At 45.9% G+C, this 27,340-nt stretch overlaps 1 protein-coding gene across 22 annotated transcripts in view, besides 1 other annotated feature; it reads right to left on the bottom strand.

Moving 5' to 3' along the window:
* NSD2 (nuclear receptor binding SET domain protein 2) overlaps window positions 1–27,340 on the bottom strand; it is a 110,800-nt gene that overhangs the window by 61,385 nt on the left and 22,075 nt on the right. For 11 of the 22 annotated variants that reach the window (NM_001440892.1, XM_047416141.1, NM_001042424.3 and 8 more), the window contains 4 exons: window positions 19,557–20,182; window positions 16,430–16,592; window positions 3,771–3,937; window positions 2,185–2,667 (listed from right to left, as the gene is read on the bottom strand). In NM_001440892.1, coding sequence (NP_001427821.1) covers window positions 2,185–2,667; window positions 3,771–3,937; window positions 16,430–16,592; window positions 19,557–20,153 — 1,410 coding nt within the window. In that variant the 5' untranslated portion in view covers window positions 20,154–20,182. Of the gene's footprint in view, window positions 1–2,184; window positions 2,668–3,770; window positions 3,938–8,613; window positions 8,718–16,429; window positions 16,593–19,457; window positions 20,183–21,412; window positions 21,588–26,898; window positions 27,082–27,340 lie in introns of those variants that run through there. The other 11 variants (XM_047416137.1, XM_047416144.1, NM_133331.3 and 8 more) reach the window with 8 other exon arrangements.
* Window positions 21,559–21,698: an enhancer, noted in NCBI's record as "active region_21162". NCBI's record gives its function as "activates an Ori minimal core promoter by ATAC-STARR-seq in GM12878 lymphoblastoid cells {active_cell/tissue: GM12878}" and the evidence as "EXISTENCE:reporter gene assay evidence [ECO:0000049][PMID:35858748]".

Genomic DNA, 27,340 nt, shown 5'->3' with positions numbered 1-27,340 from the left:
CCTGCCTCACCCTCCCAAAGTGCTGGGATGACAGGTGTGAGCTGCCACACTCGGCCTTTCTTTTCTTTTTATGAGACAGAGTCTCACTCTGTCACCTAAGCTGGAAAGCTGTGGCACAATCACAGCTCACTGCAACCTCAACACTCCTGGGCTCAAGCAATCCTCCCACCTCAACCTCCCAAGGAGAAAAAGCAATGAACTTTAATGCACGTACCAAATATCACATATACCCCATAAATACAGGGTGTTTACTTAATTAAAAAAAGCAATGAATTTTATCAAATGCCTTTTCTCCCTCTATGGAGATGAGCATTACACAGTAAGTCACAATAATAGCTTTCTAACATCAAATCACCCTTGCATTCCTGAGAAAAGCCCTAAGGATTACCCAGGCTGGAGTGCAGCGGCATGATTTCAGCTCACTGTGGCCTCCCGGTTCAAGTGATTCTCCTGCCTCAGCCTCCTGAGTAGCTGGGATTACAAGCGCACACCACCATGCCCAGCTAATTCTTGTATTTTTAGTAGAGACAAGGTTTCACCATGTAGGCCAGACTAGCCTCAAACTCCTAACCTCAGGTGATCTGCCCACCTTAGCCTCCCAATGTGCTGAGATTACAGGCGGGAGCCACCACGCCCAGCCACTCTTGAAGGCATCACTCAAATGCCTTTCTCTGGCAGAATTTCCAGATCCCATATAGGGACAAAAAAATCATGTCCAGTAGATTTATTAGAATACTCACAGTCACCCATTTATGCATCTCTGCCTGAACTACTCATGGCTCCTTATTGTGCCACACTGCCTGCCACAAAATACATGCTGGTTAAAGATTCATGGAAAATTTTTTGAAGACAGACTTTTTTTCCTTTTTTTTTGAGACGGCGTCTCATTCTGTCGCCAGGCTGGAGTGCAGTGGTGTAATCTTGGCTCACTGCAACCTCCGACTCCCTGGTTCAAGCAATTTTCCTGCCTCAGCCTCCTGAGAAGCTGGGATTACAAGCACGCGTCACCATGCCCAGCTAATTTTTTTTTGTATTTTTAGTAGAGACGGGGTTTCATCATGTTGGCCAGGATAGTCTCAAATTCCTGACCTCATGATCCACCCGCCTCAGCTTCCCAAAGTGTTGGGATTACAGGTGTGAGCCACTGTGCCTGGCCAACACTATTGTTTTTGATACCTTTAATCACCACATAGATTTAGACTACTGAATGGAAAATTCCTATGGAAGTAAAATTAAAATGAACACTTAAAAAAAGCCTTTTAAGCATGAGAATATGATCCACTCCAAGTAACATAACCAAAAGTGGGAAGTGGGGAACCCAACTCCTTCAGTTCTTTACAGCCTTTATTATGTACTAACAGACTGTGCATTTTATGCAAACAATTAAGAAAATTATATAAATGTCTTAATCACATTGCTACCCTTTTAAATGTCAGGGAAATAAATCAACACCCTCAGTGCCAGTGGACACAATGAGCTTTACAGATGAGCATATCCTGCACTGGAAGCTTCAGAACAGACTGCTGGAGAAAGTGCTAACCTGGAGTCACACGTTAAGGACATGACCACACGCTTCAAGCAAAGCGCAGCCTGTTGAGACCCACTTCCCTCTGTGCTAGTTTTTTTTTTTTTTTTTTTTTGAGACACAGTCTCGCTCTGCTGTCACCCAGGCTACGGTGCAGTGATGCCATCACGACTCACTGCAAACCCCACCTTCAGGACTCAAGGGATCCTCCTGCCTCCAGGACTCAAGGGATCCTCCTGTCTCAGTCTCCCAAGCAGCTGGGACTACAGGCATGTGCCACCACACCCGGCTAATTTTTGTAGAGATGGGGTTTCACCATGTTGCCCAGGCTGGTCTCAAACTCCTGAGCTGAAGCAATCCTCCCGCCTTGGCCTCCCAAAGTACTGAAATTACAGGCATGAGCCACTGTGCCTGGCCTGTTCTCGGTATCTTCTTATCCACATTAGGAAGGATATTTTAAGACCCCAGAGTGCAAGTCGAGTATCTTTTCCCTCAAGGGTCAGAATGGCTGTTCCCTAATACTTATTTATTAGATCTAAAATCTATGCAAGGCTCATGTTAGAGTCTCCTGATAATGCTGAGAAACAGATGATTCTGCACTGAAGGGATGTTCCTCAAATTCTGAAACTTGCTAGCATGAAACACAACTTAGTACTGACCTCATCCCTGTGTTTTTGACAGAAGACCAAAAACTGGGATGCTGCATCTCCCTTCCTGCTTCGTGGCATGGAGACTGTGGTCTTCTTCCTCCCAGGAGGAGACCCTACTCCTCTTCTGGGGTCAGCCTCTGCCGTCTTTTGAGGAGTACTCTTCCCTATGTCGGGGTGACTCTCCAGGGTCTCTGCAGAGCTACACAGTTTGGCCCTCCGCCTTCTCTTCATGGGAATGCACTCTTCTCTCACAGACTTGGGGTTTTCAGCAGCTTCTTCACTGACTCCTGAGGATTCTGCCATTTCTCCCAAAGACTCTGCAGCAATGCCAGCCTCCTTGGCTACTTGAGGGTTGAGATGAAGCTGGTCCCCCACATAGAGAAAGGTGAACTTGGCTTTCCGCTCCTCCACTGACATGCTTGCAGCTTCTTCTGCTTGAACAATGCCCATTTCCCACTGGGCCCTCAATTTCCCTGAAATTGGTTTCAATAGCTGGGAAAAAAAAAAGAGACACTGTAAGTTTCACTACACAAACATAAAAGTTAACTACTTTTCCTAGGCACATGATTCATGCCTATAATTCCAGCACTTATGGGTGTCAAGGCAGATGGATCACTTGAGGCCAGGAGTTTAAGACCAGCCTGGTCAACATGGCAAAACCCCATCTCTACTAAAATACAAAAGATAAGCCAGGCATGGTAGTGCATGCCTGTGGTCCCAGCTACTAGGGAGGCTGAGACATGAGAATCACTTGAACTGGGAGGCAGCGGATGCAGTAACCCGAGACCACGCCACTGCACTCTAGCCTGGGGTGACAGAGCAAGACCCTGTCTCAAAAAAAAAAAAAAAAAAAAGAATACTTTTACATTTTCACATAATTTTAGAAATAAAAAACTTGGCCAGCGTGGTGGTTCCCACCTGTAATCCCAGCACCTGTGGAGGCTGAGGCAGACACATCACCTGAGGTCAGGAGTCCAAGACCAGTCTGGCCAACCTGGTGAAACCCTGTCTCCACTAAAAATACAAAAATTAGCCAGGCGTGGTGGCAGGCACCTGTAATTCCAGCTACTTGGGAGGCTGAGGCAGGAGAATCGCTTGAACCCGGAGGGGCAGAGGATGCAATGAGCCAAGATCATGCCATTACACTCCAGCCTGGGCGACAAGAGTGAAACTCCATCTCAAAAAAATTTTAAAAAATAATAGAAATAAAAACTTTTAAAAACCAATTTTAGAATTCAGCCCAACATAATACCTTTATTGTTTCTTTAAACCAGAAATCAATTCCTATCACATTACATTAATCCCTCTGTCTGTGTGTGTGTATACACATATATACGTACATATATGTGTATATATAAATTCTAAAACAAGTTATCTCTGAGAGTCATCAAATGAGCAAAAAAAAATCAGTTGTGTCTCTAAAAGAACTTTATCATATTGTAACATGGCATCCTTGGGCAAAAGTCAACAATGAAAGAGATTGTTAAGCCATTACAATATTTCGAGCAAGTATAAGTTCAAAACAAAAATAAGTTAACTTAAAGAATAAAAATTAAATTTCTGGTCTAAAAGTAGACTGAAGGGTCATCTATCACCTTAATTTTCTCAGCTTTCGTGGGTGCCTGCTTGGCACTTTCCTGGCATAATTTTTCAAACTGTCCTTCTCCTTCAAAAGCTACGAGGCTCTTCTCAAATATCCAAGCTCTTTCTGGGGCGTCACCAAAGAACTGTACGTGATACTGGCGTGCACTCTTTTTCTGACCTAGTTTTTAAAATAAAATGTTAGAGAATGAAAGTTAGAATCTGGGATGAAACTAGTCAAATCTACTGCTATTTTGCAGTTGTTTCCCTTGGTGTTGTCTGAGCCTGTTAACCTCAAAACAAATTCTATACTTCTTATCCCTTCCATGCCACATGCCAAAGAGGGAAACTAATTAACTTACAAGAGACTCAGATAAGGTTCAAAATTGAATGGGAAAGAAAGCCAACCAGGCCAGGCGCAGTCCCTCACGCCTGTAATCCCACCACTTTGGGAGGCCGAGGCAGGGAGATTGAGCTCAGGATTTCGAGACCAGCCTGGGCAACATGGCAAAAGCCCATCTCTACGAAAAATGCAAAAATTAGCCGGGTGTGGTGGTGTGCACCTGTAGTCCCAGCTACTCTGGAGGCTGAGGTGAGAGGATGGCGTGAGCCTGGGAGGCACATGTTGCAGTGAGCCAAGATCATACCACTGCTCTCCAGCCTGGGTGACAGAGCTAGACCCTGTCTCAAAAACAAAAAAAGAAAGGAAAAAAAAGAAAAAGAAAAAAGCTAGCTAGCTGACTAAATGCACTCCTTTATTCCCTCTTAAAAAGATACCAAATAAGACAAGAGGACATGTGCAAGAAAGGAGTGAGAGAGGCAGTGAAGGAGGCAGTATACGGACATCACACAACCTGGGTTCAAATCCCAGCCCTGCTACCTACCAGCTAGCTACCCCCCTATCTCACAGTGCTAGAGTGACAGGAGCATCAGTGGCCTCAGAGAGCAGCTCAGACCACAGAGTAACCCCACAGATGCCCACTAGTCTTACTCTTAGCTGAGAGGAAGAAGCCACGTCCCACAGTGCAGCCAGGGGGATGAGGAAAGAAAGAGACGGGCCCAAAATAAAAGAAAGGAGGTACCAGATTCCACTGAAGTCAAATGAGAAGGTGAATACAGGTAAGCAGGTTAAAAGGTCAGATCTCTGTGCCAGGTGAGAGGAGGGAGGGGGATCTCCCTGGCACAGGGTGGGGGCAGTTACCACTCCCTGTCCCCTCATGCAGAACACTGGCCCAGATGAATCAAAGGATATTTCCTGAAGACCTGAAGTGCTCCAGAGGAAAAACCTCTCCAGTGAGTCTTCTGGAGATTCCCCCAATTAAGTGGTCAATGGCCAATCAGACCCTCTAATGCAAAGGAGGGTGGATAACCAAGCCTCCCCACCCATGGTTGCAGGCAGCTCTAAGTGTCGTGCTCTTAAACACGAGCCCAGCACCAAGGAACCCCTGGACCCAGGGAAGCATCCAGTATGAATGAATCCAAAACACACAGAAATGAATGGCCCTCTGCAGGGCCACAGACATAAGGCAAGGGAAGAGAAGATACCCAACAGAGAAACCCTGTGTGCTATGAAAAGAGAACACAGAAAAACAAAGAGATATTTGAAATTCTAAAATACAACTATGAAAATAAAATTCAGGCCGGGTGCAGTGGCTCAAGCCTGTAATCCCAGCACTTTGGGAGGCCGAGGCAGGCGGACCACGAGGTCAGGAAATCGAGACCATCCTGGCTAACACGGTGAAATCCCATTTCTACTAAATATACAAAAATTAGCCAGGCATGGTGGTGGGCGCCTGTAGCCTCAGCTACACAGGAGGCTGAGGCAGGAGAATGGTGTGAACCCAGGAGGCGGAGCTTGCAGTGAGCCGAGACTGCGCCACTGCACTCCAGCCTGGGCAACAGAGCCAGACTCCGTCTCAAAAAAAAAAAAAAAAAAAAAAGAGAAAAAAAGAAAAAATTCAACAAGAAAGCTTGGAAGATAAGAAATCTCCCAGAAAGAAGAAAAAAATTAAGATGAAAAATACCTATTTCCATAGCAACCTGTAAGATCAATCTAGGAGGTTTGATACCCAAATAATAGGCTTTCTGGAGAAACAGAGAAGCTCCAAGAATAAACCCAAAATCAAGTCTCCAACTAAAACAGTCCTAAGTGTCCCACTGCAACATCCACAGCAGGGCACACCCTGCTGAAATTCAAGCTGCTGGGGGTTGGGTGAAAGGCCAGCCTCCAAGTTAATGGAACAAGAAATAGAATAGCAAGGTATGTGAAGAATAGCAAATTATGTGAAGAATGGCCAAAAACTCTGGATGCTAGAAGGAAATGGAGTAATACCTTCAAAATTCCTAGGGGAATTCTTCTCAACATAAAATTCTACACCCAGTCAAACCATCAATCAAGTGTGAAGATAGAAAAGTAGCATACTCTGGGCCAGGCACAGTGGCTCACGCCTGTAATCCCAGCACTTCGGGAGGCCAAGGTGGGCAGATCACCTCAGATCAAGAGTTCGAGACCAGCCTGGCCAACATGGTGAAGCCCTGTCTCTACTAAAACACAAAAAATTAGTCAGGCATGGTGGCGTGTGCCCGTAGTCCCAGCTACTCAGGAGGCTGAGGCGGGAGAATCACTTGAACCCAGGAGGTGGAGACTGCAATAAGCCAAGATCGTGCCACCGCACTCCAGCCTGGCAACAGAGCAAGGCTCCATCTCAAAAAAAAAGTAGCATACTCTGGGCTGGGTGCAGTGGCTCACACATGTAATCTCAGCACTTTAGGAGGCCAAGGCGGGTAGAATACTTGAGGTCAGAAGTTCGAGACCAGCCTGGCCGACATAGCAAAACCCCATCTCTACTAAAAATACAAAAATGAGCTGGGCACGGTGGCACACACCTGTAGTCCCAGCTACTCGGGAGGCTGAGGCACGAGAATCACTTGAACCCAAGTGGCAGAGGTTGCAGCAAGCTGAGATCCCGCCACTGAACTCTAGCCTGGGCGACAAAGCAAGACTCCACCTCACAAAAACAAAAGTAGCATACTCTGAACTGCAAGGACTCAAATTTACTTCCCATACAAACTGTCTTAAGATACCAAAAATAGCCTCCAGGAAAAAAGAAAACTTAACCAAGAAAGAACACAGCATAGAACTGTAGGGATCAGCCCTACAGGGCCTGTGGGTTTTTCTCCTCGTGTGTGGAGACGAGAGATGGTAGAAATAAAGACACAAGACAAAGAGATTGAAGAAAAGACAGCTGGGCACAGGGGACACCACTACCACCAAGATGCGGAGACTGGTAGTGGCCCTGAATGTCTGGCTGCGCTGTTATTTATTGTATACAAGGCAAGGGGGCAGGGTAAGGAGTGTGAGTCATCTCCAATGATAGGTAAGGTCAAGCGAGTCATGTGTCCACCAGACAGGGGGCCCTTCCCTGTTTGGTAGCCGAGGCAGAGAGAGAGAGGGGACAGCTTACATTATTTCTTCTATGCATTTCTCAGAGAGATCAAAGACTTTAATATTCTCACCAATTCTGCTATTGCTATCTAGAAGGCGGAGCCAGATGTACAGGGCGGAACATGAAAGTGGACCAGGAGCGTGACCGCTGAAGCACAGCATCACAGGGAGACGGTTAGGCCTCTGGATGGCTGCGGGTGGGCTTGACTGATGTCAGGCCTTCCACAAGAGGTGGTGGAGCAGAGTCTTCTCTAACTCCCCCACGGAAAGGGAGACTCCCTTTCCTGGTTTGCAAAGTAACGGGTGCCTTCTCAGGCACTGGCGCTACCGCTAGACCAAGGTCGGCTAAGTAACAGGTGCCTTCCCAGGCACTGGCGTTACCGCTAGTCCAAGGAGCCCTCTAGTGGCCCTGTCTGGGCGTGACAGAGGGCTCACACTCGTCTTCTGGTCACTTCTCACCGTGTCCCTTCAGCTCCTATCTCTGTATGACCTGGTTTTTCCTAGGTTATAATTGTAGAACAGAGATTGTTATAATATTTGAATAAAGAGTAATGCTACAAACTAATGATTAATAATATTCATATATAATCATGTCTATATTCTATGTCTAATATAACTATTCTTATTTTAAGTATTTTCTTTATTATACTGGAACAGCCTGTGCCTTCAGTCTCTTGCCTTGGCACCTGGGTGGCTTGCTGCCCACATAGAACTACAGAAAACAATGTAAATAACTAGGGAAAGCAGCTTAAAGAAAGTCTAAGCTTACTGCAGTGCAAAAGGTTAAGAGTGCTAGCAAACCAGAATCAAGCAGGAAAAAGGAAGATTCTAGGAGAGAGCTCCAAGGGAAGAAAAGATGAGAGAAAACAACTTTTTTACAAAGAAAGAAAATCTAAGTAGTAAGGAAGGAGGGTTAAAAGATGAGTTCCAAGAAGCAGAAAGGGAAGATGGGACTCAAACCCAGGTTTTCATTTTTTTTTAAGGAGAAAAAATAACTATATAAATATATAAATAGGAGAAACTAACTTCATAATAAGGATGAGTTTTAAGGATGAGGAGATGAATACTTGAAAAAAATTAAGGCTGTATGGACAACATAGTGTATGATTTCAAAAGAAAGGCAGTAATTAATTCCAAGGGAAACAAAAGGTTTTACAAGAAAATGCAATTACAGAACATAACTTGGTTTTTCACTGAATGATATTTACATAGTCAAAATTATGTAAACACTTATTTTTCATTTATTACAAATAGTGACTTAATTATATGGGGAGAATGGGGGGAAAGAAATAGAAAATGGCTGAAGAGTTCAATCTTCATTTTCCATGATAGAAAGTTAACAGAAAATGTCTACATGAGAAATCAAAGTATTAGAAGTAGAAGAAAATGATGAAAGAGATAAAAATAATTACCTCTGGGGAGGAGAGAGGAAGGCAGGGGATGATTTTTCACTATTAATCTTTCAGTACAATTTGACTTGTTTTTAAGTGTTCAAACTTCTTTGATTTGAAAATACCTAAGATTCAAGGATATGTCAAGGGATTTGTGACTTCTTCCATTACTTTAAAACTTTGTAAGAACTTTTCTTAGTAATGAAAATGAATACAGGTATGTTATAGCATTTTTATAATAAAGAAAACCTGTAACAGCACACACAATATAAAATTAAACCATGTTTATAAATAATGACACAGATAAATGCTCCTTACATGTCAGGTGGGAAAAAAAGCAGAAGAGATTATTGTAATCTGATCCCAAGTTTGTAAAATAAATGAGTGTAACATTCTGAAGTTCTTTCCCATCTAGAAACCGGATAACATAACCGAATTTTCTACTATTTTTATGGGTTTCTTTAATCCATAGGAACTATCCTTTGGTCCAAGTTGAGAGGTGAATATCTCACTGTTTTTATTTTACCAATAATTAACCAGTTGTCCCAGTACTATGTTATTAGTAATCCTCCCTTCCTATGCAATTTCTTTCTTTCTTTTTTTTTTTCTTTTTTTTTTTTTTTTTTTTGAGATGGCGTCTCGCTCTGTCGCCCAGGCTGGAGTGCAGTACTGCGATCTCGGGTCACTGCAACCTCTGTCTCCTGGGCTCAAGCGATTCTCATGCCTCAGCCTTCCCAGGAGCTGGGATTACAGGCGCCTGGGACCACACCCAGCTAATTTTTGTACTGTTAGCAGAAACAGGGTTTCATCACGTTGGCCAGGCTGGTCTCGAACTCCTGACCTCAAGTCACCCACCTGCCTTGGCCTCCCAAAGTGCTGGGATTATAGGCATGAGCCACTGCACCTGGCCCTCTTCCTATGCAATTTCTGATGTTCATTAATCACCATCTGTATAAAAATGCAAGTCACTGACCTCCCCACCTACATCCCCTTCGAAGAGAACCTGGCTTCTACTAACAGTCCTGGTACCTAATTTTGTACTGTGTTCCTTTTTTCCCCATCACAGCCCATTAGACTACAGGTAGTTTGTGACTCTCTGGGCTCAACTAAGCCAGAGTTTCTCTCCAGATTTTGTGGAGCCTGTTAAGTTCCATGCATGCAAAATGAACCCCACCAAGAGACAAGGCTGCCTCAGAGATAAAGCTCCAGGGAGGGAAGAGAAGCCATAAAGATGCAGACAAGGCCAGGTGTCTGCGGAAGCCAAGAATGGAGCACAGGAGCAAAGTCACAACGACATGAGACCACAGAGCTCCCTGGGAAACAAAGGACAAGCATGACCATGCCTGAGTTTCCCAGTTCAGTCTCTGGAGGGCACCAGAGCCCCAAAATAGGTAAAGCAGAAACTGCCAGAACTACAAGTAGAAAAACAGCAAATCCACAATCCCATGGGAGATTTTAACACATCTCTCAGCAAGTAATAGAACAAGCAAGAAACAAATCAGTAGGAAGATAATACCATCAAACAGCACAAGACACGAGAAAGCCAGATTACCTGCAATATTTTTAGAAAATGCCAGAAGCATTTTTTTTCCTATATAAAGCAAGGAGGGTTAATTCCTAACATTCCCTTCCATAACACAGAAAAGGTGACAACAAAAATCTCCACAACAGAAAATTACTTGATTCCAGACCACAGTTACCTAAAGAGACCAGTGAGTGTAATATCTAAAACATATAGTTATCTTCTGTTTCCAACTTAAAAGGTTGAGCCTTGACCAGCCTGGCCAATATGGTGAAACCCCATCTCTAGCAAAAATACAAAATTAGTCGGGTGTGGTGACACATGCCTGTAGTGCCAGCTACTCGGGAGGCTGCGGCAGGAGAATCACTTGAACCTGGGAGACAGAGGTTGCAGTGAGCCGAGATTGTGACACTGCACTCCAGCCTGGGTGACAGAGAAAGACTGTCTCGAAAAAAAAAAAGGTTGAGCCTAAAAGCTGCTAGTCCACCTAGGTGCCCTGGTAGATACTAGCTAACACAGGTTCTGCTGCTGTAAATTACAACAATGCTATTAAGACTTTCATTAACTTAAGATTTCCAAAGGAAATTTTGATTTCCAAAAGAATCTAGATTGAGCTGTAGCTTATGAGTTATGTTCACTTTTGCATGTATATTATACCTCAGTTTTCAAAATTTAAGTATATTACTAAGATACACGGATTCAAACTGGTCCATAAATCCCAAGCATGATAAATAATTTTTTTTTTTTTTAACGGGTGCCGGGCGCGGTGACTCACGCCTGTAATCACAGCACTTTGGGAGGCCGAGTTGGGCGGATCACAAGGTCAGGAGGTTGAGACCAGCCTGGCCAACATGGTGAAACCCCAGCTCTACTAAAAATACAAAAATTAGCTGGGCATAGTGGTGTGCACCTGTAATCCCAGCTACTCGGGAGGCTGAGACAGGAGAATCGCTTGAACCTGGGAAATGGAGGTTGCAGTGAGCCGAGATCATACCACTGTACTCCAGCCTGGACGAGTGAGCAAGACTCCATCTCCAGGAAAAGAAAAAAAAAAAGGATAGGAATAGAGGATAGAAAAATATAAAAGTACTGGCTTCACAGGACCCATGCTCAGCCCACTCCACGGCAGGAGCTATCTCTTCTTCACATCCCTGTCCTTCCAAAACAACGACACTCACCACTCACTGTCTCATTCTCATCATGGGGTGCTGCAGGCCAAGTGTTGGAGAATCAAAAATGGACCCAAGAGCTCCACTTGGAGCAAGGGCTCAGCACTGCTTGGAGACCTACTGCACAGAGTTTCCCTTGCAAACTCTGTCTCCCAGAGCAATGAACACAACCAGCGACCAGACCTGGGCTCCTACATACTATTCTGTACTCAAAGAACCTAGGCCTTCTCTGAGAAACGGCTGATGCTAGGGTTGGGGGGGGTGGTGGGAAAAACAGTACAAGATGAGCCTGGAACATCTTGTTGTACCAGAACGTAAAGAGGTGCTCAAGGGCTGACGGGGACATGTCAAAGGCATACAACTTAAAGGAACTTAATAGAACTCCCACTGGTCAAATTTGGGACAATGTGAGGATTTAAGAAAATAAGAACTAAAATATATAACTCTTTTTTTTTTAGGGAGGAGCTCATTTTCATAGAAAAATGACAACTAAAATGTAGAAAGTGCAATAATAGCCAGTTACCATTTAACAAGTCCATGATGAATCATCAAGGACTGCTAAAGCCGTGGCTGCTGGGGACAGGTATGGTGGCTCACACTTGTAATCCCAACAATTTGGGAGGCCAAGGCAGGAAGAAGATGACCTGAGCCCAGGAGTTTGAGCCTGGAGTGAGCTATGATTGTGCCACTGTACTCTAGCCTGGACAGAGCAACAGAGCCAAGACCCTATCTCAAAACAACAACAACAAAAGCTACACTGTTGGGACAGACTACAAGCACAGCCCACAGGTCCCTCATTAGTGACAATGGGGACCTGTGCCTTTCCACAGAGAGCTCTGGTGGTCATCGCCTACCAGGGGTGGGTCAGCTGACACATAAGCTCCTCCTGATGTGGTCTGACTAGCACTCTGTCCTTCCCTCACTTCTCTTTGTTCTGCTCACTTCCTTTGACCCCTTTTCTTTTAAGATTATCTGAATCTCCTTTCAGTTGGAGGGTTATCTACCCAGGCTTGACTCCTTCTGAACTGCTTTTCAAATGTACAGTATCTTTTATACTCTAATGCCTTCACACACACAAAAAAGTATATTATCAGTCTTCTGAAGTAGGTTTGCTTGTGCCTCCTACTCTACATCCCACAATAATTCCTAGAGAAGCCGACTGCTGAGGTGAGGCAGGCCACTGCCCAGCCTATGCTGGTGCAGGACACTCCCTTCTTCTGTACACAGATCTTTAGTAAAGGGCCAAAGCTACCTTTCAAGGTTCCAACTGTGAGATCCAACCTGGCCTTTCTGACCTAGGTCTGATCATGAGAAAGCTAAAGCAGTCATGAGGAATTGGGGATTGGGAGTGCTGTTCTAGACTAGCAGAAGCTAAAGAGGCACAACCACCAGATGCCGAGTATGCATCTCAACCCTGAAGTACAGAAAAAGACAGGTAGGGGCCTGCTGGGGACACGCCCTACACCTGCTCTTAGCACAGCAACAGATCTTGTTACTGATGTGATGTTTCCCGAAATGCGGCTGGTGCTGAGTCAATAAGGAAACTGTCCTTGTTCTGACGTATTTGGGGGTAACAGTGCCACGAAAGCTACCAGCCATCATGCAACAAAAGAGATGGAGGCTAGGCACAGTGACTCATGCCTGTAATCCCATTGGGAGGCCAAGGTGGGTGGATCACAAGGTCAAGAGATCAAGATCATCCTGGCCAACATGGTGAAACCCCATTTGTACTAAAAATACAAAAATTAGCTGGGTGTGGTGGCGTGCACCTGTAGTCCCACCTACTTGGGAGACTGAGGCAGGAGAATTGCTTGAACCCAGGAGGCAGAGGTTGCCAAAATCGTGCCACTGCACTCCAGCCTGGCAACAGAGTGAGACTGTGTCACAAAAAAAAAAAAAAAAAAAAAAAGAGATTCAACAGGTAGAACAAGATGTTTCAAGGTGGAGAATCTAGATGAGGGGATAGGTGTCTGCTGTGCTGTTTTACTTTGACTTGAAAGTTTTTAAAATAGATTAAAAAAATAGATCAAATATTTCACACATACACAAAAAAAGCTAGAATCCAAGTATACCCATTTGGCATTATGTTTTGAAAACTGAGGGAATACCTGAGGACATGAAAACACTTAAAAACAGATACAAAAGTATTAAAATTAACCAAACACTAGGTGGCTGCAGGGTTAATAACTGGTCAAACATGAAGGTTTTCAGGAAGCAGCTATAGAAGAAACCAGGGGAATGGGAGTTGAAACAATAAAAACTCAGGTTTTAAAAGTAAAAGTGAGGATAATGACAATTGCTAATACGAGCATCCGGTGGTCACTGCATTAAGACCTTTCCATGAAGGTGATGGTATCATCTTCCTCATTTTCATATACAGGGAAACTGAAGCTTAGCGAGATTAAGTTCATTATCAAGATCAGCCAGCTAACTAGACCCTGGCAGGCTGATTCCTGAGTCCCAGCCTCAACCGCAGAGAGTAACACAACGGTGCCATAAGCACAAGAGTGAAAGCACTTAGCCACAGTGCAAGGTCCCGGAGTCAAGCAAAGAAAGAGAGATGAGGCCGGGCACGGTGGCTCACGCCTGTAATCCCAGCACTTTGGGAGGCCGAGGTGGGCAGATCACTTGAGGTCAGAGGTTTGAGACCAGCCTGGCCAATATGGTGAAACCCCATCTCTACTAAAAATACAAAAATTAGCCAGGCATAGTGGCACACACCTATAATCCCAGCTACTCAGGAAGCTGAGACACAAGAATTCCTTGAACCCAGGAAGCAGAGGTTGCAGTGAGCTGAGATCGCGCCAGTGCACTCTAGCCTGGGAGACAGAGTGAAACTGTGTCTCAAAAAAAAAAAAAAAAAAAAAAAAGAGAGAGAGAGAGAAGTAAAAATGGCAGTATATCTGAATGTCAGAGAAGCTGTTGCAGACTACAGGAATTACTTAACTCCAAGGCAGGGAAAAGATGCAATGATATATAAGTTGGGCTGCGGCACTGTGGCTCATTTCTGTAATCCCAGCACTTTGGGAGGCCGAGGCAAGCGGATCACTGGGGCCCAGGAGTTTGAGACCAACTGGGCAACATGGTGAAACCCCATCTCTACAAAAAAAACACAAAAATTAGCCAGGTGTGGTGGCACGCACCTGTAGTCCCAGCTACTCAGGAGGCTGAGATGGAAGGATCACCTGAGCCCAGAAGGTACAGGTTGCAGTGAGCTAAGACTGCGCCACTGCACTCCAGTTTGGGTGATGGAGCGAGCCTCCATCCCCAAAAAAAGAAATTAAAAGTAATAAGCCCTAATAGGAAGAACAAGGAGACTTTCAAAAGACTACTTCAGTTTCACAGGCATGAGAGGCTAACAGCTAAACATGGCATCATATAAATAAGTAAATATCCCCAGACACTAAAAAGGAAATCAGTAAGAGCTGCTTGTGTGCCACACAAACAAATGACATGGGAGTCACAGGGTTTGCTGTGTGGAGACTATGCCTGGTTTTAGAAAGCAGAGAAAGAATTAGCAGCCCCTCACACACACCCATGTGTGCCTGCACCCGGGCTGCAGAGGCTTGAAGGTCCATCCTCAGACAAAGGGGAGACAGCTTCTGTCTCAACCAGCATTTATTTTTTCATACACTGACCGAGTCTAGAGGCCCTGGGGTACACCCTGGGGTTCCCGCAACCCCTTGGAAAGGAATCCCCGAATTCTGGCAAGCCAAGGATGCCAAAGGTCCTCCATGGAGACAGAGCTGAAGCCAGGCCATAGGCTCTTCTGCCACAACTCCTGCAGAGCACACATGGCACAGGACAGGAGGCCAGGGCAGGACTCAGGCAAGGGCACCCAGGACTCGGCAGAGTCCTCTTCGTCCTCAGCCTGCCCCTCTAACATCTACATCTGCCAGGGAGGCACCTCTGTACCCCATTCCTAGCAGCCACCTGCTCCCACAGCCAGCTGACAAGCCTGTTTTGGCCATGCAGGTGGCAGTACAAAGACATAAGCTCATAGCAAGGGCAGCAACGCTGCCCCCACAGGAGCTCAGGCCTCCAGCCAGAGACCAGAAGGGGACATGTACGCAAGGACCACCAAGGGGCCATAAGAGGCTGACTGGTCAGCAATATTGGACTGGAGCATTGGCCTAGTCTGGCCTGACTCTAGACGCCACACTTCCAGAGGGTGCACAGATCAGATCACAGGGTGACACTAACTTGCTCAGTTCTAACTCCGCACTCGCCACATCGCAACTTGCTCAAACTAAATTCCAACTTCACTCTAGAAGAACTTTCAGAAAAACCTCAAACCACATTATCTTTTACTATTCCTCTAAAAACACATTTATGGGTTGACCAACCATTATTTGCTCTGTATCAGGGACATATAACATTCTTTTTTTTTTTGTGAGACAGAGTTTCGCTGTTGTTGCCCAGACTAGAGTGCAATGGCGCGATCTCGGCTCACTGCAACCTCCACCTCCCGGGTTCTAGCGATTCTCCTGCCTCAGCCTCCTGAGTAGCTGGGATTACAGGCGTGCACCACCACGTCCGGCTAATTTTGTATTTTTAGTAGAGACGCGGTTTGACCATGTTGGTCAGGCTAGTCTCGAACTCCTGACCTCAAGTGATCCACCCACCTCGGCCTCCCAAAGTGTTGGGATTACAGGCGTGAGCCACCGTGCCCGGCCGTACATTCTTAATATGTTACATCAGCCGCTCCATGTAAAAATCAATTTATCTACCCAAGCTTCATAAGACAAAGATGATCACTTCCAGTGTTTTCCATTCTTCCCATAGGCCTAATAAAATTCACTTGGACATTTTTACAACTTAAACTTAGCATAAAACACTCTTGCTGCAAATCATCCTGAAACAAGCAATCATCGTAACTAAATAATAAACTATCATAAAAACAGAAGTTATACAAGGCAAAGGTCATGTGTCCCTTAACACTAATTCAATCAGATGAAGTACATATTTGAGTTGAATATAAAAAGAAATGGCAACACATCACACTTGAATCAATCACTAACTTTAGGTAAAGCTGCAAAAATGAACCATAGCAGGGCTATTTAGAAAGAGTAAGAAAGAAGCCTGGAGATGAGAAAGATTAAGTGCAGAAGAGAAAGTTGGAAAAACAACCCAAAGAACACAATACCTTTAAGTTTGGTATAGCTGTGAAGGAGTGGATCTGCAGAAACCATGCAAGGCCACCAAGGGTAACCCGACACTTTGGACCACACCAAATCACCAACGTTGTATTTCAACAGGTGGTCTTTGTCTCTTCCAGTGTTTGGACAAGACTCTTTCTTAGCTGGAATCTGAAAATGAACAACAGAAGACAAACACTAACACATCCAATCACTACCTGTGTATCCAGAAGACCAAGGATTCACCAGGCTACAATGTCCAAATACACACAGACCCCCAAAAATGGAGTGTGCTCCCTTGCTGTGTTTTAGATGATAGCCTCAACATCGTTTCATCAAAATTTTGTCTCTCAGGCCAGGTGCGGTGGCTCACGCCTGTAGTCCCAGCACTTTGGGAGGCCAACGTGGGCGGATCACGAGTTCAGGAGATCAAGACCATCCTGGCTAACACAATGAAACCCTGTCTCTACTAAAAATACAAAAAATTAGCCGGGCGTGGTGGCAGGCGCCTGTAATCCCAGCTACTCAGGAAGCTGAGGCAGGAGAATGGCGTGAACCCGGGAGGCGGAGCTTGCAGTGAGCCGAGATCACGCCACTGCACTCCAGCCTGGGCGACAGGGCGAGACTCCATCTCAAAAAAAAAAAAAAAAAAAATTTCTCTCTCACTCTCAGCTAAAGGATCAGGACAGTGCATAGCACACAGCAGGTGTTCAACATTTTGAAGATCTCTATATAAATCTATTTCCTTGGCCTAGTATTAATAGACGGTCTTTAATGGTACTTTATTCAACTGGTCGAAAAGGAATTCTCACAGAATTCCAAATCCATACTGACTTCTGCCCCTCCAGTCATGTCTGACGATCAGTTCTCAGCAGCCCATGTGTCACCAACATGAACCATCCCAGTGTGGTGAGGGCAAGGGCACCAGGAGGACTAGGAGCAAGTCTCGGCTCCATCACATGTAATTTGAGTCCTTGGGGCTCTCTGAGCCTCAATTTCTCCATCTCTAGAACATAATGGGTAGGTTAAGGCTGAACATTCCACCAAAGAAAAACTCCTCCCCACAAGCCACTCACAGTTCTGCTCTCCAGTGGAAATAAGCACAGCCAGCATGGCCCCAACCCTCCAAGGGTGAATCTCTAGCCTTGCTCAAGAGCACTATACACATGAGTAAATTGTTCCACTGCCTCAGGCCTCAGTTTTCTCACCTGTAAGCTGAAGAGGCCGGCCCAAAACCTTGCCATAAGCATGCTGGTGAAGCCTGGCATGAGCTGCCACATGACACATTTTCATGTTTTTTTGATCCTCCCATCTCAGCCTCCCTAGTAGCTGGGACCACAGGCAGTGCCACCACGCCCAGCTAATTTTATTTTTTATAGAGACCGGGTCTCGCTATGTTGCCCAGGCTAGTCTTGAACTCCTGGGCTCAAGCAATCTTCCTGCCTCAGCCTCCCAAAGTGCTGGGATTACAGATGTGAGCCACCCCATCAGGCCTGACATACTTTCAGAACAGCTACCAGATTACTGCACAGCAACCCAGGTTTACATTTATTGACCCCACTCTCCAGAGGAAGAGTCAAAATTCAGGTTGAGTTACTCAAGTTTTAACAAAACCAAGGGACATGGCTAGGAATAAAAGCCAGATTTTTTTGTTTGGTTTGTTTTTCAGTTGGAGGAGAAAGAAAAAGCCAGCTCTGATGCAGGAACATCGTTTGAGGTCAGGAGTTCGTGAACAGCCTGTGCAACATACCAAGACCCTGTCTCAAAACAAAACAGCTAGGACTCTGACAACTTGCACAGGCCTCTTCCCAAGCAAAAGCATGAGGTTCAATACTGCTGTGGGCACTTCAAAAAATCTTTGTAGGCTGGGCATGGTAGCTCATACCTGTAACTCGAGCACTTCAGGAGGCAGAGGTGGGAGGATCGTTTGAGCCCAGGGGTTTGAGACCAGCCTGGGCAACACAGCAAGACCCTGTCCTACAAAAAATAAAAAATTAACTGGGCATATAGTGGTGCACACCTGTGGTCCAACTACTCAGGAGGGTGAGGTAGGAGGATCACCTAAGCCTGGGAGGTCAAGGCTGTTGTGAGCCATGATCACACCACTGCCCTCTAGCCTGGACAACAGAGACCATCTCAAAATAAATAAATAAATAAATAAAATTTAAAAACTTCACCACTGCCATTACATGAGCGAGAACTAAACAGCTCCTGAGTAATCAAAAAACGTTTTTTTAACCCTCAAAGCTCTTCATTATTTTAACAATTTCAAGGAGTTACAACTAAAAAGCAACACCCTATAGACCACCAGATGAACAGAGACTGCTGCCCCATCAAGAGTTCCTTCCTTCTGCCAAAGCCATGGCCCCTTGGTTGTTTCCTATGGCTTATACTCATCCGAGTGTCAGGGCCATCCCGAGTGCCACGTGAAGGCGTGGAGACACCATCACCAGGCAGAATGGAGCAGCACCACCACACCTTTCCATCGCAAGTTAGGATAAGGAAACACTCATTCGCTTGTGTTCAGTGTGCTGGGCTCTGCACTGGGAACCAAGAACAGGAGGCAAAAGACACATCCCTAGGCCTCAGGGAGGCAGGCCATCTGCTGGACCACCTGGCTGAGGAGACAGTAAGTGGACACTGGACCACAGGGTAAGGACAGCGGGAGCACCTCTGCACAGCTCTGCTTCCCACTCATCAGATGGTGCAGACTTAAGAAGTCACACTCTAGAGCCCAGCCTGTCTCCACTGACCACATCAGGCTAAAGAACACCTTGGAGATGAGATCCATGAAAAGAGTGTAGCCTGACGTTGTCAAGCAAGGGCTCTGAAACTGGCAGAACCACGTTAAGAAACAAGCTTTGCCTCTTTTTAGCCATTTGAATCTTGAACACTTAGCTCACCTCTCTAGACCTCTCAACTGGCTCAGCAGCCAGCTGAGAACTGAGGAGGCAGTGCCAGGGCATCCTGGAGCCCACCCTCCAACCCAAAGCCAGGGCTCAGGCAAGTGGCTGGAAGTACCAGGCCTGTCCTCACCTTCTCCGCCCGCCCCAGTACTCGTGCAGGTGCCCTCATAGGGTGGCCATGCTCACTGCTCAAGGTCACATGACCCCTTACACAACGTCTCCTAAATACCTTTTTATCTGAAGGACTTGAGATCTTAGACACAAGAGCTGCTTCGACAAGGCCCTGCTCCAGCAAGGAGTCATATTTTATGCTCCTCTTCCTGTTCCTTCTCGCCTTGTTTTCTGGTTTTTGTCCATTTTCTTCTGACTGAGACACATCAGCAGCACTGTCACCACAAATGGAAGATTCAAAGAGAGGCTTCCCATTCATGTATGTTTTGGTGATTTTCAGCTTAATTTCTGGAGAGCCATTTTTGATAGGGGTAGTGTTAGGGGGTGTCCCAATCCCTTTCATTTCCTGGGACTCAAAACGCAGTTTGGCATCGTGTGCGCCGGGTTCTCCATTAAACACCCGGGAAGTAAGATCTTTCAGCTTGTCGGCTGGAATAAAGGGCAGGGCGTCGTGGCCGTTAAACTTCTGCATGACCCCCTCCTGCAGGCTACTGGAGAGCTGGGCTTTGCTGAGGAACACAGAACACTCGCGGTTCACCTCGCAGCTCGGAGTCTTCCCGTTGGCACTGCCGAGGATTTCTGGTGCCTGCTTCATCTTTATGCACTTTACAACACTCTGAACAGAAAGGGGACTCTGCTTGATGCTAAATTCCATCCAGCCCAGATGCTTCCGTTCTTAGAACACTATGGTATTAAAAAAAAGAAAAAAGAAAGAAAAAGCAATTACATTTAAAACCTAGGATAGGTATGCCAGGACCTCTACAGCTTTGTGGGGTCTGATTTTCTTTGTAAGCAATTTATGATGTTTTTATAATAATTCAGGTCACAGAAGGCAGTTTTAGTATCACAAAAATTACACGGAATCACAAAATGATAAAGCTGAAAGAAAAAGGAATCATTTTTTAAAGGAAGAACATGAAAGTCAGTCAAGACAGCACACTCCAGTCATACCACTAATAATCTACAGTGTGGCCATGGACACATAACTTAACTTGCCAATCATCCCTGAAACACAGATTTCCACCTGTCCACCAACATATACTTAAAAGAGCTAATATGTGTGAGGCAGCTGGCATAATGCCAGGCCTATGCAAAAGGACAACAGGGAATAGCATAAAAGCAAAATCAACACTAACAGGAAAAGAGCTCATCCCAATCCCTCCTGTTACAGCTGAGGTATCAGGCAGAGGCTCAGAATGTGCCCAAGATGACCTGGTCAGCAAAGTCTAAAACCAGATATTCCAACTCCAAGCACAGGATTAGCTCCAGGTTGATGAAAATAAGAAGCAAAAAGCCAAGAGTCTCCAAGGGTGAAAGCAATCCCAGTCAGGTCTGGCTATGCTCAACCCAGTATTCTTATCTCAGTCCACTAATCCCCTCCGTGTTCAGGCCTAAATTAAACAAGAAAGAACACAGCAGTAAGGTCACATTTTTTAGCTACTACCTGAAGATTAACTACTTGAGAACAACACTGCTGAGCCACAACACAGGTTACTTTGCCAGTGCACCACACTGGCCAGTGAGGCCCACGTGCAGAAGGGGCAGTTTAGGAAGGTAACTCGCTGCAGCATGCTGGTGTGGGGTCTTCCCTGCAAAGCTACAGTCCCTAATCTGAGACATCTAGTGAAGGGGCCAGAGCCCCAAAACACAGCTAGGAATAAGAAACAGGTAGGCACCCGCCCCAGCTGGGAAGGCATCTCTCAGGAGTACACCATCACAAGCTCCAACAACAGCCCTCTGAGAAGCCAGAAATCAATAGCATCAGACACTAGGGAAAATCTGAGTACAGTAAGGACCAGAGATGCCCGTGGACTAGAACAGCGGTTCTCAAATGGGGAGGATTTTGTTCCCCAGGGACACTTAACCTCATCTGGAAGCATTTTTTATTACCACCACTAGGGGGCGGACCCTGACCTCTGATGGGTTGCGGTCATGGATGCTGCTGCATCTCCTGCAACGCACAGGATGCCCGCGCAACAGGGCTATGCGGCCCGAGATGTCCACAGTACTGAGGTGGAGGACACCTGACGTGCAGCAATAGGGGGCTGCTGGTGTCTGCAACCCGCAGTCTCCACAGAAAAGCAGACAGCTGAGGAAGGAGACAGGAAAAAAAGAGCAAATGTAAAACCTTGAAAAAATGTTGAAGTCCCAGTTCAGCTTCATGTGCTCTGGACAACTCTTTAACACCAAAACACATACAAATGTGTTCTGTCTGACCCGCACAATTTCTTAAAAAGGTAGATCAAAGTCAGTTCCTCTTCCAGCTCATATCATACCAACTGTCCCAAGGTAAAAACTATAACCCTGGACAAAACATAAAAAACCACCTCCTGAAGGAACTGAGAGCAACCAAAAGCAGAGAGAAAATGGACGGAACCAACTGTTGAAAGAAAGGGAACAGCACTGGGTGAACTCCATTTTGAAATGTGTGACTGAGGAGAGTTTGAAGCAACTGTAACAACTATAAAATGAGGGGGGAAATCTCAAGGAGAGAGTCTCAGAGGGGAGTCCCAAATTCTGCCTATAAACTCTGCCCAAATTCCAGGCTGATTCCAAGCAGCCTAGTTTATGAAATAACTGAAAAGAGATTCCAGCTGCTGGACAAAAAAAAAAAAAAAAGTGTGTTTTTTGTTTTTTGTTTTTTTTTTTTTAGACGGAGTCTCGCTCTGTCACCCAGGTTGGACTGCAGTGGTGCGATCTCAGCTCACTGCAACCTCCACCTCCCGGGTTCAATTCTCCTGCCTCACCCTCCTGAGTAGCTGGGACTACAGGCGCCCACCACCACGCCCGGCTAATTTTTTGTATTTTTAGTAGAGACGGGGTTTCACCGTGTTACCCAGGATGGTCTCGATCTCCTGACTTCGTGATCCGCCCGCCTTGGCCTCCCAAAGTGCTGGGATTACAGGCGTGAGCCACCGCACCTGGCCACGAAACCATTTTTAAGGGGAATGTGGTCAGGCTTTGGGAGGCCGAGGCAGGAGGATCACTCAAGTCCAGGAATTCAAGACCAGCTTGGGCAAGACAGTGAGAGCCCATCTCAACAAAAAATACAAAAATTAGCCAGTCGTGGTGATGTGCACCTGTAGTCCCTGCTACTCAGGAGGCTGAGGCAGGAGGATCGCTTGAGTCCAAGAGGTCAAGGCTGCAGTGAGCTATGATTGCACTACTGCACTCCAACCTGGATTACAGAGCAAGACTGTAAAAAGAAGGGGGAAAAAAAGGAAGCAGAGCCTCACAGATCTGTGGAACAATATTAAAGGGTCTGGAGTTCCACCCAGAAGGAGGAGGGAAAAAAAAAGGCAAAAATATTTGGAGAAAACAGTGGTCCTCCAAAAGTTCCCCAATTTAATAAGACACAAATGTACAGATTCAAGAAGTTCAGCAGCTGGGTGAGGTGGCTCATGCCTGCAATCCCAGCACTTTAGGAGGCTGAGTCAGGTGGATCACTTGTGGTCTGGAGTTCGAGGCCAGCCTGGCCAACATGGTGAAACCACAACTCTACTAAAAATACAAAAATTAGCCAGGCTTGGTGGCACACACCTGTAATCCCAGCTACTTGGGAGGCTGAGGCAGGAGAATCGCTTGAACCCAGGAGGTGGAGGCTGCAATAAGCAAAGACCACGCCACTGCACTCCAGCCTGAGTGAGACTCTGTCTCAAAAATATATCAATAAAAATAAAAATAAAATTTTTTGTAGAGACGGGATCTTGTCTTGTTGACCAGGCTAGTCTCTAAGTCCTGGCTTCAAGGAATCCTTCCCAAAGTGCTGGCATTACAAGCAGGAGCCCCTGTACCCTGCCAAACAATTTTTTTTTTCCCTTGAGACAGGGTCTCACTACCACCGAAGCTGGAGTGCAGGGCAATGGCACAATTTCAGCTCACTGCAACCTCTATCCTTCAGGGCTCAAGCAATCCTCCCATCTCAGCCTCCCGAGTAGCTGGGACTATAGGTGCACCCCACCATGCTCAGCTAACTTTTTAACCCTTTTTTTGTAGAGATGGATCTCACTATATTGTCCAGGCTGATCTCAAACTCCTGGGCTCAAGGGATCTTCCCATCTCAACATCCCAAAGTACTGGGATTACAGGCATGAGACACTGCACCCAGCCCAAACCACTTTCCTTTTTTTTTTTTCCTTTGAGACAGAGTCTCACTCTGTCACCCAGGCTGGAGTGCAGTGGTATGATCATGGCTCACTGCAACCTCTGCCTCCCAGGCTCAAGTGATCTTCCTGCCTCAGCCTCCTGAGCAGCTGTGAGGACTACAAGGCACTTGCCACCATGCCCAGCTAATTTTTGTGTTTTTGTACAAAGTCTCACCATGTTGCCGAGGCTGGTCTCCAACTCCTGGGCTCAAGCGATCCACCCGCCTTGGCCTTTCAAAGTGCTGGGATTACAGATGTGAGCCACCATACCCGGGTTTAACTATCTTTCTTATGTTGGGGAAGGCAAGGAGAAAGAAAAGAAAAGAGAAGAGAAGAAAGGAAAAGAAAGAAAGAAAGAATGAGAGAGAAAGAAAGAAAAGAAAAGAAAAAAAAGAGAAGAAAGAAGGAAAGAAAGAAAGAGAAAGAGAGAAGGGAAGGAAGGAAAGGAAGGAAGGAGAGGAATGGAAGAGTTCGGGAAGGAAGGGAGGGAGGGAGGGAGGCCGGGCACAGTGGTTCACTACTTGTAATCCTAGCACTTTGGGAGGCCAAAGAGGGAGGATTGCTTGAACCCAGCAGTTTGAGATGAGCCTGGGCAGCATAGTGAGACCCTGTCTCTACAAAAAATAAAATTAGCCAGGCACACTGGCGCACATCTACAGTCCCAGCTACCCGGGAGGCTGAGGTGTGAGGATGGCTTGGGCTCAGGAGGTTGACACTGCAGTGAGCTGTGACCACACTATTGCACGCCAGACTCAGCAAGACCTTGTCTAGCTACACTGCCTAATGCAAAGCAATAGAGAGAATCTCCAGGTCTAGAAATGAAAAGGGAACAGCAGTCTGGAGCCTCATAGGCTGCAGGCTGCCCATGGCAGGACCCCAGGGTTTAGGTGCTGGGGCTTGGCAGCCGGAATACAGAAGGGAGGTGCAGGACAGGGGCTTGGGCCTGACTGGGCTGCCTGCACAGAGCCCGAAGGAGAGGAGTCATGGCGAGCAGCTGGCTGCCGTGATTAGGAGCACCAAGTGTGGAGCTGCTGTCTGGACTAGAATCCCAGCTCTGCCACTTACTACACTGTGGGACCCCGGCCAAGAGCCTCTACCACTCATCCTCACTCCATGTCCTGAGGACAGAGGACCCACCTTGCAGGTACTTTCAAACAGTAAGGAGGAAAAGAAGCCACCACCAGGCAGAGGACTTCCTCATCACCAGGTGAGTGTCTGTGGTCACAGTGCTGTCATCATCACCTGAGCCCCTCTACCAGCCAGCCCAGGGCTGGGCCCTCAGCAAACACCCACCAGAGGCCACTGGGGTGACAGAGCCACCCTTGAGAAATGTGAACCCCAAGCCTCCGCCTAAGAAGGCTAAATCCGGAGACCAAAAAATGTCAAAACAGGTCTAGAATGAGTGACACTGGTAGGACCTGCAGGGAAACCTGAGAACTGCTCATGGGGAGCCCCCCTCTCCCCGGGAGAGCCACTGAGAGATGCCCCTGAGGTAAACACAGCCTCCCACCAGCAGTGAGAGATCCTCCAGGAGCCAGGCATGGGACAGTATGGAAGGTCTTCTACAGGAGAACAGGAAATTACTGTTTTCATGATTTGCAGACTTGGAAAAAAAAAAGTATTGGTATTGAAATTAAAAACTCAGTTGAGTTGAATATAGCAGACCAGGCACAGCTAAAAATATAATAGATTAGAAGATAAATCTGAGAGAATCAGCAAGGAAAAGGGCTGATAAAGAGATGAAAACCATGTAAGATAAATTAAGACATAACATTCATGAATGTTTCATTCTTTCAAATATAAAGTGCCTACTATGAGCAAGACACTGATTTTAGGTGTTGGGATTATAACATTGAACAAAACAGGGTGAAAAACAGTCTGTCTACCCAAAAGAATTAAAAGCAGGAACCAGAAGATATTTGTACAACCATGTTCACAGGAGCACTATTACAGTAGCCAAAAGGTAGACGTAACCCATCAACAGATGAATAGATAACCAAAATGTAGACTATCTGCACAGTGGAGTAGTATTCAGCTTTAAAAGGAAGGAAATGCTGATATCTGCTTCAATATGGACGAATCTTGAAGAAACTATGCTAAGTGAAATAAGGCAGACACAAAAAAGACAAATACTGTAAAATTCCACGTACATGAGGTCCCCAGAATAGAATACATAGAGACAGGAAGTAGAATGGTGAGTGCCAGAAACTGGGGGAAGAAAAAGGAGGATGGGGAATTATGGGACAGAGTTTCAGTTTGAGAAGATGAAAAAGTTCTGGAGACAGTGTCATGGTTGTATAACAATGTGAATGCACTTAAGACCATAGAACTAAATGCTTTAAAATAGTTAAAATGGTAAATTTTATGTTACGTATACCCCCAAAAATCCTCTACCTTCAAGGAGCTTACATTCCAATGCAGTTCTAGTTGGAGAGGCTTGGGAGGATGAGGGAAAGACAACTTCTTCTTTTCATTTTTTTTTTTTTTTTTATTGAGACAGGGTCTTCCTCTGTTGCCCAGGCTAAAATGCAATGGTGCCATCACAGCTCACTGCATCCTAGAACTCCTGGGCCCAAGCAATCCTCCCACCTCAGCCTCCCAATTAGCTGGGAATACAGGCATGCACCACCACACTGGCTAATTTTTGTATTTTTTGTAGAGACGGGGTTTCACCACATTGCCCAGGCTGGTCTCAAACTCCTGGACTCCCAAAGTGGTAGGATTACAGGTTGAGCCACCTCAGCCAGCCAACAAATTTCAAAGAGGTGAAACATTTTCCAGAGATGAAAGGAAAATTAGATATTCTGAATAAAAGAGCACCCTATGTTCTGAGCAAAATAAATGAAAACAAATCATCTAGATACATTGTATTGAAATGACAGAACATGGAGGACAAACAGAAAATCTTCACCAGGCGTGGTGGCTCACACCTGTAATCCCACCACTTTGGGAGGCTGAAGTGGGAAGATCACTCGAGGTCAGGAGTCTGAGACCAGCCTGGCCAACATAGTAAGACGCCGTCTCTACAAAAAATTTTAAATTTAGCCAGGTACAGTGACACACACCTACAGTCCTAGAAGCTAGTCCTAGAAGCTACTCCTAGCTTCTTCAGAGGCTGAGGGAGGAGGATCACTTAAGCCTAAGAATTCGAGGCTACAGCAACCTATAAGCATGCCGCTGTACTGCAGCCTGGGCTACAGAGCAAGACTGTCTGTCAATCAATCAAGCAAGCATTAAGGGAAAATAAATGCCCACCTCGTGCCACCACAAGTGTCCAGAATTTTATGCCCAGGTAAATTATCATTCAAACATGAGGCAAGGGCCGGGTGCAGTGGCTCACACCTGCAATTCCAACACTTTGGGAGGACGAGGCAGGTAGATCGCTTGAGCTCAGAAGTTCGAGACCAGCCTGGGCAACATGGCGAAATCTTGTCTCTGCAAAAAAATACAAAAATCAGCTGGGTGCATGCCCATAATCCCAGCTACTGGGGAGGCTGTGGCAGGAGGATCAGTTGAGCCTGGGCAGCAGAGATTGCAGAGAGCCAAGAAAGCACCACTGCACTCCAGCCTGGGGTACAGAGCAAGACCTTGTCTCAAAACAAAACAAAAAAAAAAAAAAAACAAAAAACAAAAAAAGAGGCAAAATACATCTTGCAATATGCAAAGACTGAGAGTTTATTTATTTATTTTTTTATTG

This window comes from Homo sapiens, chromosome 4 (genome assembly GCF_000001405.40).
Source record: "Homo sapiens chromosome 4, GRCh38.p14 Primary Assembly".
Lineage (NCBI taxonomy): Eukaryota > Metazoa > Chordata > Mammalia > Primates > Hominidae > Homo > Homo sapiens.
Note: the sequence above shows the minus strand (reverse complement) of the source record. Positions and strands in the feature narration are given on the sequence as shown.